At 36.6% G+C, this 19,456-nt stretch overlaps 1 protein-coding gene across 53 annotated transcripts in view, besides 1 other annotated feature; it reads left to right on the top strand.

The window, feature by feature from the left end:
• The window catches only part of DLG2 (discs large MAGUK scaffold protein 2), a 2,173,362-nt gene that overhangs the window by 1,557,061 nt on the left and 596,845 nt on the right, over nt 1–19,456 (top strand). For all 53 annotated transcript variants that reach the window (NR_165353.1, NM_001351274.2, XM_017017256.3 and 50 more), the window contains one exon: nt 11,829–11,998. Coding sequence is in view for 52 of the 53 variants with exons in the window: in NM_001351274.2 (NP_001338203.1) it covers nt 11,829–11,998 (170 nt within the window). In the remaining variant the exon portion in view is untranslated. The remainder of the gene's footprint in view (nt 1–11,828; nt 11,999–19,456) is intronic.
• Nucleotides 11,168–12,367: an enhancer, noted in NCBI's record as "CDK7 strongly-dependent group 2 enhancer chr11:83769989-83771188 (GRCh37/hg19 assembly coordinates)". NCBI's record gives its function as "activates an origin of replication core promoter dependent on BRD2, BRD4, P300/CBP, MED14 and CDK7 cofactors, with strong dependence on CDK7, by STARR-seq in HCT116 cells {active_cell/tissue: HCT116}" and the evidence as "EXISTENCE:reporter gene assay evidence [ECO:0000049][PMID:35650434]".

The raw sequence follows: 19,456 nt of genomic DNA, 5'->3' as shown, positions 1-19,456 counted from the left end.
GGCAACATGGCAAAACCCCATCTCTACAAGAAATACAAAAAATAAAAATAAAAAAAAAGCCAGTGTGATGGTGTGCACTCGTAGTTCCAACCACATGGGAGGCTGAGGTAGGAGGCAGCTTGAGCCTGGAAGGCAGAGGTTTCAGTGCGTCGTGATTGTGCCACTGCACTACAGCTGGGGCAACAGAATGAGACCCTTCTCAAAAACAATAAATAAATACAAAGTAATTAATTAACTAAAAATGAAAAATTTTAAAATAAAAATATGTTAAAATGTGATAGATTGGATGTGTGGCTAAAAAAGAAGGAACACTCCTCCCTTTCTGGTGATGAAATTATTTGTCTTGATGGAGAATTAAAAGTGAAGTAAAGGGTTGTCTATGGGGAAGAGATAAGATTAATTTCAGACTCTGCTCCATTTGAGATGTACTGTCAACTTCCAAGTAAAGATAGGTGCCAGGCTGGGTTGACCTTGAATTTAGGTTTATAGAACACCAGAGCTAGAAGAGAATTTTAAGATCACTGTACTCAAACACACAGAGAAAAAAAATTGACTTGAACTGGAAAGTGGCAGAAACCCAGGATTAGAATTCATATCTAGCTTATAACCCAGTGTTCTTCCCACCATGCCATGCTCCTTGTTGTTCTCAACTTTTCACTGAAATGTTCATCAATTTAATGCCAAATTGAACTTGACTGAGAAAATGTACAATTATGAATTCCATATATGTTGATCTACATCTATTTCTGGGATTGGAGTAGATTTGAGTAGAGGAAAATAGGAAATCAAATCCAGCATTGTTAAATGTATTTCTTAATGTGTAGTACTCACTATTTTAGGTTCTATGCAGGTAACAAATAAATCTATAGCTTCTTGATGAGAATCTGCCATGTATTTGCAATTGGGACATTATGGACAATAAAGCCTTGAGTGATTTGGAAACATTTCATGGGCTATGGAGTGTGAACTTGCCTTTGAATGATGCTAGCTTTGGTTGAACGTTTGAGAGACAGAAAGCAACATGAAACAAAATATAGTGTCCTGGCTGGAGCAGGCAGTAAGAGGTATAAAAAGGGGGTTGGTTTAGAAGTCATACAATGATGCTAATTTTTTCTTATGTGACAACTGTGTACCTGACACTGGTAATACAAAGATTAACCACAGTTTTAATTTTATATATGTTACAAATCTCTTGAATTTAGAGGGGAAATGAAATGATAAAAGGGTTGCCTTAGGAAGTTGAACCTGGTTTTGTGTGTTTGAATGAAATGGAGAGGGGCTAATTAGCCTGGCATCAGGAAAACTAGCTAGGAAGCTACTGTAGTAATCCAGGTGGTAGGTACCAGCACCTCATCTCTTGAAAGTTGACAAGCAGTCCTGTCAGTGGACACAGTATTGAACTGAGCGGGCTAAGTAATCTCCAGTCCCATGACCCTCTCACTTTGGAATTTCTATTCAATGTCTCTTTTCCATGTTGTACCCATTAAGTAGCCTAGCTTGAAATTTGTTACTGGCCTCTGCTTTTCCAGGAAAGTGCCAAAAGACCAATCACTGATGCTGAAATAGCAATTTCTGTCCCCATTGTGGAAAGCTGTGATGCTTCCCAGATGACAGCTGCAGAGAGTCCTGCAAGCATTTTATAGAAGGGAAATGAAGTGGCAAATAGAGGGGAAAAACAGTACATTCACTGTAGGAGATGGCTTCTATGGATCATAAACCCGAGTTACTCTCATTCAGAGTTAGAGACGAGAGCAGAAGCCCTATTTTTTAAATGTGGAATGAAGAGGCTATCAGTTGGTCTTAGCTGAAGGAAGGGAGTCAGTAAAAGAGTTTCAGGTAGAAAATGAGTGCTGGAAAATGGTTTGCATGTCCACAGCCTTACACATTATGGCAGCTGTGGTCTCCTGGTCCAGGTTCCCTTAGAGGCTTTGTTCCAAATAATGAAAAGCTGCAAATAGAGGGGTTGGGTTTGGAGTCAGAGCTCAGGACTTTTATCACATACTCAGTTGGGTCTACATAAGATTGAGTATTTCTGTTTATTTTGGAATGAATCATACATGAGCCAAGTAGAATGACCCTTCAAAACCTAGAGCAGTGGTTTTTGGAGTATGGTCTCAGTCCAGCATTACCAGGATCACCTAGGAACGTGTTAGAAATGTGACTCTTCTCTCCTGCTCTAGACCTACTGAATCAGCACCTCTGGAGGGGGAAGCTCAGTGGTAATGTATAGTTTAACAAGCCCTCCCCAAAGTGTGAGAAAGATTGATCTAGATTTTGTTACTTGGCTTGGCTCTACTGGTTTACAGTATGGTCCTGGACCCGACTGACAGTGGGTCCTTAAGTAAGTCGCAAAATCATTTTTAACAAACCAGAGAAGTGTAGATGGTATAGGGCATGAACTTTGAGATTTCCTAGACATCATTTACCTGTCATTACAAACCTATTTCAACTTTAGTTTCTACTGTGGAATGAAGGCGACAATATCTACTTTTCAGTGTTTCTATTTACATTAAAGACTATATAACATAGTATATAATACAAACTTTTCCCACTAGGTGCCAGGCATTAATGCTATTCGAATAAAACAAATAAACTCAGTATAATGAGTGCTTTTATAAATACTGTATTTTTATAAATTTGAATTCCTAGTTAAATTTTAATTTCAATGGAACATACTTATACTAAAATGTATGTGTTTATCTAAATAATAATTACTAATGTTTATCTGAAATTGAAATTCAACTGATTGTCCTGTATTTTTATTTGCTAAGTCTGGGAACTCCATTAATATTTTTCACTAAGTACCTAATGGAGGAACACTGGAGCAAATAACTGGGCCAAAGATGGCATCCTAGAAGATGAGATAAGCTTGAATTAAGTTTTAAAAGGGAAAAAGGAATGAGCTAAGGGAGATAACACATGTAAAGTATTGGTCACAAAGTCTGCCTGTATTAATCAGAAATATTTGTTGGCAAGTAAAAGACCCACCAGCTTACTTACTCAAAAGGGAGAATTAATTAGAAGGACATTTGAAGTATCTTCTCAAACTGGACAATTAAGCGCTGGGAAGAATAGCCATGGACTGAGACACTGTCAGGTGTTAGAGGAATTCCTCCTTCTGTCCGAAGCCCATACTTCTTCCTATAGATCTACTTTATTCCCCATCTTTTTGGAGATAGTCTTTTGAAATTTTATAGTCAACATGGAAGAAAATGGCCTCTAATATTAAGCTCTCAAGTTTCTATTTCTTCTGGTCACATAGAACCTCTGAGTCTCATGGTTTCAATTCCACATTCCCAAAAGCAGGACTGGCCAGACTTGACAAGTGAACCAGGTTAAGCCATATAAGCTTGTCACTCCTCCTACAACCATGTGGATGTTTGCTGGAAAAAAAAGCCTCATAGATATTACTACATTGGCCCATATCAGATGCCTCTAAAACATTCCTCTTCCTTTCTTGGAAAAATGCTAAATTATGCTGATTTTTATTCTTTTATTTTTTATTTTTAATAAACTAATAATGCCTAATGAGGTCAGTGAAATATACAGATCATTAGGGTGAGAAGTTTCAACAAGGGAGAACCTTAACTGGTGATGGACTTTAAAGATCCCCAGTAACACTTCCATGTACTTCATAAAAGGAAGAGTGAGATAACAGGCAGACATAATTAAGTATATGTATTATGGCAGGCCATTATGATTTGAAGTCATTTGAGTCAGCCTGTGTTTGTGTGTGTGTGTGTGTGTGTGTGTGTGGTGGGGGGTGTATTATTTTCTCCTCTCTGTGAGCATAAACTACTTGTCTTAATAAGGTTTTGGCTTCTATTATTTGTTCATAACCTACCTTTAATGACTTCAGGAATAGAAGAAAAACAAGACCCTTTTCATAACTTCTGTTTTCATTATAATTGACATAAAATGTGTGGAATTATTCCTTTTGAACAGATTCTGAGATTTTTGTTTTGTTTTGTTTTGTTTGGAGATGGTGTCTCGCTCTGTTACCCAGGATGGAGTGCAGTGGCGCGGTCTTGGCTCACAGCAACCCCCGCCTCCAGTGTTCAAGCGATTCTCCTGCCTCAGCCTCCCAAGTAGCTGGGATTACAGAGGCCCGCCACCATGCCTGGCTAATTTTTTGTATTTTTGGTAGAGATGGGGTTTCACCATGTTGGTCTGGCTGGTCTCGAACTCCTGACCTCATGATACTCCCACCTCGGCCTCCCAAAGCACCGGGATTACAGGGACTGAAAGTTTTTTAAGTGATTGATTGTTATCTTTAAGTGCATGCAGTCTAATTCCTTAGCTAGTGGTTTTTTAAAATTTCATCATGCATTTTTACACTTCATACAGCACATTAAACATTGATCAGCTTTCTTCATGATGTGGCCCTTTGGTCTGTAATTAATTCATTTATTTGAAGAAAGAGAATACTACTGATAGAAACAGTAAAGCGCAAGGTAATTAGGGGACATTCTTCAATAACCAACAGCTGCTGCAAAGTTGTTTCAGACCCTGTGACCTAACATCTACCTTTTTTTACTTTTTTTCTTTTTTTAGATGGAGTTTTGCCCTTGTTGCCCAGGCTGGAGTGCAGTGGCACGATCTCGGCTCACTGCAACCTCTGCCTCCCAGGTTCAAGCGATTCTCCTGCCTCAGCCTCCTTAGTAGCTGGGATTACAGGCGCCTGCCACCATGCGTGGCTAATTTTTTGTATTTTTAGCACAGACAGGATTTCATCATGTTGGCCAGGCTGGTCTCGAACTCCTGACCTCAGGTGATCCACCCGTCTCAGCCTCCCGAAGTGCTGGGATTATAGGCATAAGCCATCGCTCCCGGCCCCAAACACCTACTTTTGAATAAAAACTTGAGGAGGTCTGAGTGCAGTTAGGTGTGGTTGAGTTAAGTGTGCTGGTCAGAATCTTTAACCAAGGCTTCCATAAAAGGTAAAGTTTGTATATCAAAACAACTATAAGTTTTACTGTGGGCAAGGGAAGGGAAATATGAAAAGGAAATTACATTGTACTTCATCAAACAAGACTTATTTAAGCTCTAATATTTAGGTGAATATGCATTTATTATTTTTTTCTTTTTTTAAACCTTTAGTTTCGGGGGTACATGTGCATGTTTGTTATATAGGTGAATTGCATGTCGTAGGGGTTTGGTGTATAGCTTATTCTGAAACCTGGTAATAAGCATAATACCTGATAGCTAGTTTTTCAGTGCTCACCCTCATCCCAACTTCCACTCTCAAGTAGGACCCAGTAAATGTTGTTCCCCTCTTTGTGTCCATACGTACTCCAAGTTTAGCTCCCACTTACATAAATGAGATCATGGAGTATTTGGTTTTCTGTTCCTGTGTTAGATTGCTTAGGATAATGGCCTGCAGCTCCATCTGTGTTGCTGTAAAGGACATGATCTCATTACTTTTATGGCTGCATAGTATTCCATTGTATATATGTACCACATTTTTAAAAATCCAGTCTGCTGTTGATGGGCATTTAGATTGAGTCTATATCTTTGCTATTGTGAATGGTGCTGTGTTGAACATATGTGTGCATATATCTTAATGGTAGAATAATTTATATTGCTTTGGATATAATACCCAATAAGGGGATTTCTAGGTTGAATGGTAATTTTGTTTTAAGTTCTTGAGAAATCCCCAAACTCCTTCCCACAATGGCTGAACTAATTTACACTCCCACCAACAATTATAAGCATTCCCTTTTCTTCACAACCTTGCCAGCATCTGTTATTTTTTGCCTTTTTAATAATAGTCATTCAGATTGGTGTGAGATGTTACCCCATTGTGGTTTTGATTTGCATTTCTCTAATGATTAGTAATGTTGAGCATTTTTTCATATGCTTGCTGGCCATGTCTATGTCTTCTTTTGAAAAGTGTCTGTTCATGTCCTTTATGCACTTTTTAATGGTGTTATTTGGTTTTTCCTTGTAAATTTAAGTTCCTTATAGATTCTAGATATTAGACCTTTGTTGAATGAGTAGCTTGCAAATATTTTCTTCCATTCTGTAGGTTGTCTGTTTACTCTGTTGGTAGTTTCTTTTGCTGTGCAGAAGCTCTTTAGTTTGATTAGGTCCCATTTGTCAATTTTTGGTTTTGTTGTAATTGCTTTTGGCATCTTTATCATGAAATCTTTGCCAGGTCCTATGTCCAAAATAATATTTCCTAGGTTATCTTCCAGGGTTTTTATATGTTTAGGTTTTATATTTAAGTCTTTAATTCATCTCGAGATTATTTTTACAGATTGTTTAAGGAAGGGGTCGAATTGCAATCTTCTGCATATGACTGTCCAGTTATCTCAGCACCATTTATTGAATAGGGAGTCCTTTCCCCATTGCTTGTTTTTGTCAATGTTGTTGAAAATCAGATGGCTGTAGGTGTGCAGCATTATTTCTAGATTCCCTATTCTGTTCCAGTGGTCTGTGTGTCTGTTTTTGTACCAGTACCTTGCTGTAAAAGCTCTATTTTTATATTTTTCTTCCTGAAAATCCCATTCTTTTCTTCTCTTCCTCCCTTTCTTATACAAAATTTTAAAAACACTTTCAGCATCTTGACTGTAGCTCTTTCTTTTTCTCCCTTTAGTATTTTTCCCTCACTATAGTCTCTTTATATATTCTCTTATGCAAATGCTTCTTGTCTCTTTTTCGTAATGATAGCTAACATTTTTGATGCTTACTGTTTTTCAGGGACTACGCTATGTATTTCACATGCATTCTCTCAATAACAGTAACAATCAGTCAATAACAATCTCATTATCCCTATTTTCAGATGAAGAAACTGAGGCTTTGAGATGTCAAGTGACTTGTCTGTAGTCACAGAGCTCCCAAGTTTTAGAGCTGTGGTGAGATCCCAGATCTATCTGGCTGTGACCAAGCCTCCCAAGCCATGTTCTTAGGTTCTGTGCTGTGATATATGTCCAGTATAAAACATTTGAAAGAAACATAAAAGTAGAAATGTGCTTTTTAAAGCGCTCATAATCTCCATACCCACAAAGGACCCAAATTAAAACTTCGCTATCTTTCTCTTCAGTGTGTTTTATGCATAATGCATGGGAATTTTTAAATTTTTAACACTTACTATGACTTGATGATCATTTTAAATGAGTTAACATACTTAAAAATGCGTAAAATCACAAATCTTACTTCAATGGCGGAAAAATTTTTTTGTTATATATATATATTCTTATTATACTTTAAGTTCTAGGGTACATGTGCACAACATGCAGGTTTGTTACACATGTATTCATGTGCTATGTTGGTGTGCTGTATGCATTAACTCATCATTTACATTAGGTATATCTCCTAATGCTATCCCTCCCCCAGCCCCCCACCCCACAACAGGCCCCGGTGTATGATGTTCCCCTTCCTGTGTCCATGTGTTCTCATTGTTCAATTCCCACCTATGAGTGAGATCATGCAGTGTTTGGTTTTTGGTCCTTGTGATAGTTTGCTGAGATTGATGGTTTCCAGCTTCATCCATGTCCCTACAAAGGACATGAGCTCATCATTTTTTATGGCTGCACAGTATTCCATGGTGTATATGTGCCATATTTTCTTAATCCAGTCTATCATTGATGGACATTTGGGTTGGTTCCAAGTCTTTGCTATTGTGAATAGTGCCGCAATAAACATACGTGTGCATGTGTCTTTATAGCAGCATGATTTATAATCCTTTGGGTATATACCCAGTAATGGGATGGCTGGGTCAAATGGTATTTCTAGTTCTAGATCCCTGAGGAATAGCCACACTGCAGAAAATATTTAGTACCTTGAGAGAGTAGATATTACCTGTTACTTTAAATTATATTGTCAAAGTAGAACAAATAACTCACTAAATATTGTTTTACTTTTCAGTGATGCTATACCATTTTAGAAAATACTTGATTTAGTGCAAAATTTAGATGTGACTCTTTGAATACGGGCTACCGATAGACTATCCTTTTTGTTTCTAAAATATTTTTGGCAAGGAATGCACCAAAATTTCTAAAGGAAATTCTAGAAAGAATATTAAAATTAATCTGCGGATATTACAGACAATTCTGGTTTACAAGGTGAAATTGCTGCAGATGAATACTGTAGACTTACGTGTATAACATCAAGTACTAAGAGTGAAACTGTCAACTTAATTAGATTGGTAGAGTGAGATTGGAGAGTAAGTCTGTATATGTAAACAACATTTTGTTTTTTAGAGATGGAGTATCGCTTTTGATGCCCAGGCTGGTCTTGAACTCACGGCTTCATAAAACAATGTCCCTCAGAAATATGATAAAGCCTGCATTTGTTACTGTGACAAAGTATTCCTTGACTTTGAAGCTAATTATATACTTACATGCTTCAAAATGAATACAGTTGGTGGCTTTACTCACAAAGTTTATCTACTGGTAAAGAGAGCAAATTAATTTTAAATAGCTATGACCCTCTAGCCAAAATCTATTTCAAGTTTCTGGGAGGAAGGGAAGTTGACTGCCCTAGTTTGGCCTGACATACTTTCCTCTCTATTTTGAGAATTTGAATGTAAACTACCCCACCTCCCCTACAAACACCACCATTAAAAAAAAAAATTAAAACAATCAACTCTGAGTGTCTGAGTATCTTTGTATCAGTAGAAGCTCTAGAAAAAGTAAAAACAGGTTGAAATTATGTCCCTGTTTTCACCAACACTTTGACCTTGTCAGTAAAATTCCACTGTCTTTAAAATGGGATCCATACTTTATAAATTGTTTAAGTAAGAACAAATAAGTGAAATGACTGGCTGATATTGCACATAGTATGTCCTTTAAAAGTTTAAATTTCCATTCTGTTCACATTTGAACAAATACTTGAGCACATCTTTGATCCACTCAATAGCAAGAACTTTCAGATCTATGGTAGGTTACAATGTACACATCTCCACACATCAGCTATGGGTACTCTCCTGCACAGTACTATACAGTACAGTTACTGCTCTCACTGACTCTGGACATAGTCTCTCTCCTTTTATGGGATACTGAAGTTCAAAAAGATAAAGTGGCCTCACCGTGGTCCCACAGATGATGAAGAACTGAGACTCAAATCCAGGCCTCCTGACTGCTAGTCCTAAAGCTGCCTACTTGATCCACATATTCAGGAATGAACATCTGATTTAGGCTATGATTTTCTCACACCAGCAATTGACAATTAAGGATCCCACTGTATACAAAAGGAAAAAAATAGAGTTTGAATAGATATATATAGCCTCCAGAATTTTTTTTAAATGTCAGCCACTCCCTTCTATGAAAAGCAGTGTTTTAAGATATAATTAGTATTCTGAGCATAGAGTGATGGTAAACATTATGTTTTGTATTATCATGAGATGGCAAAATTACCCACTCTCAAAGGACCAGCTGCTGCAGGGCAGCTGGCACCCATGATGCCTACATTCTCAAAACTATTTTAATTGGTAGTTTCCCTTTTTTTTTTTTTTTTTTGTCAATCAGAGAGGAAATGTATGTGTAAGTCTATTAAAGCCATAGCATCTGTTATGATGAAATGACATTGCCGAATCTTAGGAAGTGAAATATTCCATCTCAAGATTTTGAGACTGCTCTGTGTTCTTACTGAGGCAAGAGTTCCTATAACTAAACAGGTATAGAAAAGTTATGCACAAAAACAGATACAAAATTCTTCCCATACTTTTCATATAATATTATCATTGTAGTCATCATTTTGAATTGATATACACAACATACATGAAACTATTCATCACATTAGATGTATGTGGTCCTAAGAGAGAAAAGCTCAAATTTTGAAATAGGAAGACCTGAAATCAAATCCAATCTCTGCTCAAATTGCTGACAGCTTTAAGCAGAGGACTTAATCACTTGGAAGTCTTCTCATTTCTATAATGTAGATAATAAGTTTTATTCCACAAAGTTATAGGGAGTATCCAATAGTTGAGAATATTATAAATCAACAAATATTGCACTGTTATCAATAACAAACATTTATTAGGTGTTCATTACATAAGAGAGTATGTACTAAGTGCTTATATGTGCTTTATCTCATTTAATCTTCCCCAAAAGGCTTCCTGATAGATATTACTATTATATCCAATTTACAGATGAGAATATAATAAGGCTTAGAGAGGCTAAGGAAATTAACTATGGTTACAAACTTAGGAAATGGAGGGCCCAATCATTGAACTTAGTCTTATTCTTTCACACATTCAACAAATATTTGCTAAGGAAAGATCCCCTGAACAAAACGGGACACTGTTTGGAAGGAGGAAGTGGGGAATGCAAGTTGAGTAAGCAAACCAACCATGTTCACTGTACGCTGGCCACTGTGTAGTGAATGGATTGAAAGGTAACAAGAGAGAATCCAAGAAGGCTAGGTCGGCGTTTGTGGAGGTGGTTCACCTGAGAGATGATGTTGATTTCAACCAGGGTGGTAGCAATGAAGATGAAGAAACCTAGATGGACTGAGGCTATACTTGCAGGTAGAACTGACTGCGTGGTGGTGGGGGAAAAGAAGCATCAAGCAAAGGAGGCCCCTCATTTTTGACTCTGAGCAACATGGTGATCTGAGATTGGGGACACTAGAATGGATATACAGAGTGAGGGAAAGAAATTTTTGTAATCTCAAGCCCCGTGCTCTTAACCATTATTAATGTTATCACTAATTATTATCATGAAAATAAAATATATTTGGAGTCGATGGCCACATAACTTTAAACTACCTGGAAAGGTTTATGGAAATGTCAAATTATTCCTTTCCATGTGAAAATGAAAAAAAAAAAAAAAGAGGAAAGTTTGATGTAGAATTTGTTGTGGTTCTTAGTTTTCAAAGTAAGCACCTAGGAACAGGATTATCTGAGGTTCTCCTTGAACTTTGTAAATCTGAACTTCAGTATTTATAATATTGTAAGATGAATCGAGGTGGAGAGGAGGGTGGGGAAACACTGGAAGATAATTTGCCAGAAAGCTGACAGACTTATTTAATTTATTATTATTATTATTTTCTTTTTTTGAGATGGAGTCTCGCTCTGTCTCCCAGGCTGGAGTATAGTGGCGTGATCTCGGCTCACTGCAACCTCCACCCTCGGGATTCAAGCAATTCTCTTTTCTCAGCCTCCCAAGTAGCTGAACTACAGGCACACACCACCATGCCCAGCTAATTTTTGTATTTTTGGTAGAGACGGGGTTTCACCATATTGGTCAGGCTGGTCTCGAACCCCTGACCTCAGGTGATCCTGCCACCTTGGCCTCCCAAAGTGCTGGGATTACAGGCATGAGCCACTGCGCCCAACCTAATAGGTTTATTTTAGATGATTGAGTCAAGTATATTTTTTCTTCTACCTTTTTATATTTTTCAGATATTTGAAAATGATTACTTATTACTTTTATAACTAGTAAATTAAAAATTTGAGAAAATTAGTCTGTAAATAATTGTATTTGTTATGTCTATATAGTTCATGGTAGTAAGTTCTGAGAACCACTCAAATTGTAACTTTCAGTCAAACCAATTAAAATAATGATGTAACTTACAGAGGCCTTAAAATACATGCCCTTCTAACTATGCCGTATGTGTAAGCAGTCCCAGTCAAAGTGGACTGGAGTTTAGGATGGGAACTGACCAGTAGTATGGTCAAAAGTGGTTAGGAAGAAGGCTAAGAGGCTTGAGTAGTTTGACATTTTTTAGATTTCCTTCATTTGAAGCATCCTTCCAAATTTAAATATTTTAAAATTTTTTAGATTCTTTACTTTCCCACTTCTTAAGGTCAGATAAACATAATAATATTCTTTAAGAAATCCTGCTAGCCACTTCTGAATCTTGACTCTTTTCCTTCCTTGCAGGGTCAATGATTGTATCTTGCGGGTGAATGAGGTTGATGTGTCAGAGGTTTCCCACAGTAAAGCGGTGGAAGCCCTGAAGGAAGCAGGGTCTATCGTTCGGCTGTATGTGCGTAGAAGACGACCTATTTTGGAGACCGTTGTGGAAATCAAACTGTTCAAAGGCCCTAAAGGTAATCAAAATATAAATGACTCACAGACACTAGTGACAAACCATCTGACTGAAGTTTATGCCACGATAGTCGTATGATGAACTCTTTAACCTCTGACATTCAGTGCTTACCAAGAGATTTAAAATCCTACAGTAGTGGTTACAAAGGGTAAAGGAAACCAGTACTCTAAATATGAACTCAGATAAGAAGGAAAGAGTAGATTTATGTAGAAACATCCTTAAAAACAAAAATATTAACAGTCATCTATGTTTTTCTATAAATTTTTAATCTTACTGGGTCATGATAACTTAGCTAGCATATTAATACTAATTTTTCAGATACAAATGGTAAATCCTCTCATTTGGCAAAATAGTAATATAAATAATAATTAAAATAATCTGTACTAATATAACAATTATATTTTTATAATGTTGTGATATGTTTAAAGTTTGGTTATATTCTTATGTGTTGTACCCAATATTACATGACATTTTATGCTTGCAGTAGCCAAAATAAGTTAAAATTTATGTTCTTGAAATGTTCTCGTATCTCTTGAGATTATTATAGTTACTCTGAGGAGTTGCAGAAACAGATGAATTACCACCCTAATTTTTGTTTGTTTGTTTTTTGTTTTGTTTTGTTTTGTTTTAAGGCAGGGTCTCACTCTGTTGCCCAGGCTAGAGTGCAGTGGCAGGATCATGACTCATTGAAGCCTCAAGCTCCTGGGCTCAAGTGATCCTCCCATCTCAGCCTCTCAAATAGCTGGGACTACAGGCATGCACTAGTGCATGTGGTTATTATTATTATTATTATTATTATTATTATTATTGTATTTGTTTTTTGGTAGAGACAGACCCTTGCTTTGTTGCCCAGGCTGGTCTTGAACTCCTGGTCATAAGTAATCCTCCTGCTTTGGCCTCCCAAAGTGTTGGGATTACAGGTGAGAGCCACTGTACCTGGCCCATACTAATTTTTAAGAATAATGCTTTGAACTCTGTTCTTCAGAATGATGACATTAAGTAGTAACTTAATAGTATTTAATGTTTTGGAAAAAATCTAATAATTAGCTTAACATTATTTAAATATTTTAGATGATTTTGACCAAATAATCACTGTACTCTTTGAGTAAATCATTTCTCATTTCTTTAAAATCTATTTAATCTCTAATGCTATATGAGATTGAAAAAATAAGCCTACCATCTCTTCTAGGAGGCAGTAGTGGGTGGTATTTAAGATCTCAGGACTGAGTTTAAAAGCCTGGTTCAACCACTTGCTAGCAGAGTCATCTTAGTTGGGCCTGCTCCCTCATTATTAAATGGGGATCATAATGGTAGCATCAATCCATAGGGTTTATGAGGATTAAGCATTTAGCCAATAGCTGGCACATGGTAAGCAATAGAGCCTGGTGGTTAAGATGCAGACTCTACAGCCCAGAGTTTCTAGATTAGTACCTTGGCTCTGCAGCTCACTAGCTGTTTGGCCTTGAGCAAATTGCTTAACCTCTCTGGGCCATATTTTCTCATCTACAAAGTGCAAATAAGAATAGTACTTGCTCCTAGAGATGTTGTGAGGATTAGATGAGTTGATTCACAAAAAGTATTTAGAATAAGGCCTGGCACAAACTGACCGACCAACAAAATTAGCTACATATGCATGTTATCTGTACTATTATTTACTACATATGGTTTTAAACTTTGTAACAATTGTTTGGTAATGTAATGAAAATATTCAGAGATTCCTCATGGGTCAAATTCAAATGTGTTAAAATCATAGAACTAAATCTGGGTAAAAAGAAAAAAAAGTGAAGCATTTTCATGCCACAGTCTCTAGTGGTATGAAAGACTTTCAACCCTCACATTTACTAAAATCATATTGCAAGGAGCTTTAAAGCCAAACAAAATGGCCATACCCATTATTTCTATTAAAAATATATATTATATGTAGCTATTTCTGTAATTCAATTAACTGTAATTATTCAGCATAGCCCTAAGACAAATACTAATTTTAACCACTCAGTAAAGAAAGTAACATCATGCATTTATAGACCTTCTTCTAGCTGAGCAGCTGGAGGTCATCCAGAGCACTTAAAGGCTATAGATGACTAAAACTTAATTTTACCAAGAACACATATTTTAGATCTTTATTTTTGACACTGGGGCTCCAGCTGGTTTACTTCATGCTGAACTGCTTTCTTCCTTGAGCCCGGAGTGGGGCAGTAATTGCTGTGGGACCTGGAATGGGGAAATGGGGAGAAGTGAGTATTAATCAACTTGGTATACCTAGGCAATAACCCAGTTAAAGTATACAGTGTATGGGAGATGGGGTTACAAGTGAGCTTGGTCTACTGAGATGAGGAGAACCAGATAACTGTTGGAAATAACTTCGCATCCCTAAAAAGCAGGCTCTTGCGAAATTCCTGTAGAGAGAGGTGAGACTATTGGGCCTGTTGCGGTTATGCTGAGTCAGTCATACTTCTTTCTACTGTCGCTGTCCAGAGGTCACTGATGGAGATTTGTTTCTCTATATAAAGCTTACTGATTTACAGAAAAACTATTTTAGTCATTGTTTAAATTCCTCATCCCTCTCCTAGTACCATAAACACAGCTAGTGCTGAATCAGAGTAAGTTGAATACTTAAACTGGATTTTACACTAACTCTGATGATACCTCGTGGTCTTAACTTCACTTGGCACCTTATAATTCTTCATTTTTGAATTACAATATGTGTAAAGGGAATTCCTACCAATGTTTAACTCATACAGTGGAAACTCTTATGCACCCTGGAGTGAAGATAAATGAGATGTCGTCTCTGTCCTCAGAAAGTTTAAATGGGAGAGATGCACTTGAAGTCAACTACCTTTAATGCAACAGAAAATGAACTCAGCTCTATAATGGAGCCTGAGCCATGATTTCACTGGAACAAAGTGGAAGATGTGATTCGTCATAACTAGGAGAGACAAAATGGTCCAGAGGATTTAAAATTTTCAGCAAACTAATGCAGTAACAGAAAACCAAACACCACATGGTCTCAGTCGTGGGAGTTGAACAATGAGAACACATGGACACAGGGAGGGGAACTTTACACACCAGGGCCTGTTCCGGGGTTGTGGGGAAGGGGAGGGATAGCATTAGGACAAATAACTAATGCACACGGGGCTTAAAACCTAGATGATGGGTTGATAGGTGCAGCAAACCACCATGGTACATGTATATCTATGTAACAAACCTGCACATTCTGTACATGTATTCCAGAACTTTAAAAGAAAAAAAAAACTTAACATGTGCATAGTTTATCTGACCTTCCTTGAGCACATGGGTACAATATAGTAAGCATCAAAAATGTAGCCAACTGAGCTAACTGGATTGAATTATGTATATATAATACAGAGTTATCTAGATATACATTAATGTAGTCCTTCAATGATTCAACAAATACGTATTGTTTAGTATGTACCTGGCACAGATCCAGACAATAGAGATTCACAAAGAAAATTCAGATAGTTCTTGCTCTCAAGGAGATGATAGCCTGGTGGGGAAAACACCTATAATATAAATTGGGAAAAGTACTAGGAATAAATGTAACAGATTGTTAAGGGGGTGCCAATTAAATAGTGGGTCAAAGGAGACTTCTGTAAGCAAGTGTCACTTAAGCTAAGCTTTGAAATATAAATTAAAACAGACATTTAGCCAGGTAAAGAATGGGGTCTCGAGAGCATCCCAGATAGAAGTAGAGGCATGTGAGTGTGATGGCTATAGTGTAGGAAAAGATCTTGATAACTTCTAGGAGTCTAATAATATGAAAATTAATTACATGAAATGATATGGCTGAGATGAGCAAGGGCCAGATCATGCTTAGCTTTGTTCACCATATTTGAAGATTTGTGTTTATATTGAAATGCAATGGGAAATTATTGTGATATTTTAAGCATGAGTGACACATGATAAAATATGTAATTTTTAGAAGGTCATTCTGGCTGCTATGAAGCGAATGAATTGAAGAGGGCAGAAGTGAGAGCAGAGATCAGTTAGGGGTTACTTGGAGGAAGGAGAAAAAAGTAAATGGATTTGAGCTATCTTGATGCCATTTATTGGTAAAATATATGGTGGTGTTTCAAGGATGAGGTTCAGTTTTTTAGTTGGGGTGCCATTTGTGAGGTAGGGAAGATTATGAAGGAATCTCTGAGGACAGAGGGAACCTCTGATGTGTCTGAAAAGGAAATCTCAAGGAAGCAGAACTGGAGAAGGTCTGTCTAAAAACCCTGCCAAATTAACATATTGATTTTTCACTATATTTTGTGAAATATCTGGGTTTGGGAAAATATTTTTAAATTGACTTTTTTCCTTTTTATTAATCTTAATATAAAAAATATGAATATGGCTACTTCAGCTATTTTAAAGAGTTAATGCATTTAATAAATCTATTTTATAGATTTTATAGATTATTAATGCCAAGAATGTTTTCAGTTTGGGGATTGTGTTTGTTTTTGCACAGAATAGAGGATAAACAGATTTATCCCTTTGTATGCTGTAGGTAAAACATTAAGAGATTCTGTGAAACAGTGATTTGTGGCAAATTAAATTTACAGTTTTTCAATTTCGTACTCTGTATTGATTTGGTCTATTGCAAAAATTACTAATTTGAGATAACCTTTGATGTATGTGATTTTGTCTTTATAGCAGAGCTAATCTTCCCAACACTCAGATAGAATCAATCATCTCATTGGTGATTTATAGCCATATATTTCAGTAATGGATATTTGGGTAATACTCATTCTGACTTAGAATGTCTTTTCTCAAAATAGGTAGAAACCTTGCTAACATCACAGTTATAGATTTGGTCATTGTAAGCACCTGGGGTGTCTGCATGTGGGCAATCAATTGAGAAGAAAATAGGTAATTATATGTAGGAAGAAAGTATTAGGCAAATCCATTTAGGCTTGCCAAGCAACCAAAAATCAAGCAAAGGAAGGAAATCTGAAGTGTGTATGTGGGTTTCCAGGAAATAGATTTACTGTAAAAGGCTTCCTAGTGACTTTCGCAAGAACACATTAAATCATAACTTCCAAGGAGCTATTAATATATAATTAAACAAGTACAGAACTGTTTGTTTCTATGGCCTGGGCCAAAGAAGCCTAAAGCTACAGGAGAAATTAGATGACTTCTTTTAAGATGCTGTTGTTGCTTAGGAATCATATAAGTGGTTTAAGGCTAAGTTCTAAAACCAAAAATGTGAAAGCTACAGTTTTATTAATTGATATCCAAAGGTGGTCTTGCTTGTAGCTTTATTTTAGCCACCTTACTCATTAATAAAAACTGAAAGAGTGATTAAATCTAGGTAGTGACAATTTTTAGCAATTCTCCTCCATTATTTTTTAAAATGTTTTTAAATTCTCATATCTCTATAGATACATACTTTTTGCCATTACAGAGCTCTGTATCAGTGTAAACTGAGAATGTAGTAAAGATTGTGAGTTTATGTTTTGTACAGGAAAAATGGTAACTATGAAATGCACAAACTGTAGAAGTTACTATACCAATGAACACTTATAATGTTCATAATTCAGCCATTAAAGAAGACACATATGTAATGAAGAAGTTCCTGGATATCTTCAAGCAGCCATGAGCCTAGAACAAAGATATGAACCACTTTATGACTCACTTTCCGCATCTGCAAAATGGCTATATCTAAATATGTAATTCATAGAGTTATTTTCAGGATAAGAATTGTAAATTCTTAATAAATTCTTATAATCTTTTTACTCTTATTACCATATTTGGCAGAAGGGGAAATAAAGAAAAGTAGCAAAGAACTCATTAATACTAAGGGACTAAAGGATTAGATTGTATTTAATATAATATTTAATATAAAATACTATGAGAGGTTCTTTTTTTTCCTTCAACTTTTAATTTAAGTTCAGAGGTATATGTGCAGGATGTGCAGGTTTGTTACATAGGTAAACGTGTGCCATGGTGGTTGGCTACACAGATCATCCCATCACCTAGGTATTAAGCCCAGCATCCAACAGCTATTCTTCCTAGTACCTGATGCTCTCCCTTCCTCCTGCTTCCCCTCCAACAGGCCCCAGTGTGTGTTGTTTCCTTCCATGTGTCCGTGTATTCTCATTGCTCAGCTGCCACTTGTAAGTGAGAACATGCTGTATCTGGCTTTCTGTTCCTGCATTAGTTTGCTGATGATAATGGCTTCCAATTCCATCTATGTCTCTGCAAAGGACATGATCTCCTTCCTTTTTTATGGCTGCATAGTATTCCATGGTGTATATATACCACATTTATTTATCCAGTCTGTCATTGATGGGCATTTAGGTTCATTCCATGTCTTTGCTATTGTGAATAGTGCTGCAATGAACAGACACCTGCATGTATCTTTATAATAGAATGATTTATATTTCTTTGGGTATATACCCTGTGGTGGGATTGCTGAGTCAAATGGTACATCTGCCTTTAGGTCTTTGAGGACTATCTTCCACAGTGGCTAAACTAATTTATGTTCCTACCAACAATGTAAAAGCATTCCATTTCCACACTGTCTTCCACAATGGTTAAACTCATTTACACTCCCACCAACAGTGTAAAAGCATTCCATTTTCTCCACAACCTTGCCTGCATCTGTTTTTTTTTTTTTTTTTTTGACTTTTTAATAATAGCCATTCTAGCTGGTGTGAGATGGTATCTCATTGTGGTTTTAATTTGCATTTCTCTGATGATCAGTGACGTTGAGCTTTTTTTCATATGTTTGTTGGCTGCATGTCTGTCTTCTTTTGAGAAGGTTCTGTTCATGTCCTTTGCCCACTTTTTAATGGGGTTGTTTTTTTTCTTGTAAATTTGTTTAAGTTCTTTGTAGATTCTGGATGTTAGACCTTTGTCAGATGGACAGATTAAAAAAATTTGGGGGAGGTCCTTTAAAAGCACTAGAATATTTGTTGAATTAATGAATTGACTATTTATTAAAAGCTTTTAATATTTAGCGATTCCAGATAGAACCAATATATATTTGGCTTATGCATGCATGTATGCATATATATAATATGTAAATATATTTATGTTATGTGTATATGCACATATATGTTATGTACAGCTGTATTTTTTCTTTAGCTCTATATAAATTTGTTTCTAACAGGTTTGAGTTATGATGTGTCATATAACTCTATGCTTTATGAAAATGCACATATATGTTTGGGATTTTTCTTTGGTTTTCCCAGTTTGGGCATCTGTGTCAGGGTATGCCATGTGCAGAAATAGCTCCAAGTATATTAAAACTTAGCCTTATGATATCTCCTTAGCACCAGGTTCCATCACTCGCCCCTCACCCATATGACCTACTCCTGCTTTTGACCTCTCCATTTATTCAAACGATTGTCTTAGTCACCCACAGTAAAAGGCCTTGGACGTCCTTTTTTTCCTTTTGGTTCTCTCTTCTTTGCTGCTTTAATAAATCAGGCATATACCTTTTGGAAGCCAC

Source organism: Homo sapiens, chromosome 11 (genome assembly GCF_000001405.40).
Source record: "Homo sapiens chromosome 11, GRCh38.p14 Primary Assembly".
In the NCBI taxonomy this organism is placed as follows: domain Eukaryota; kingdom Metazoa; phylum Chordata; class Mammalia; order Primates; family Hominidae; genus Homo; species Homo sapiens.
This window is presented reverse-complemented; position numbering and strand designations above follow the sequence as displayed.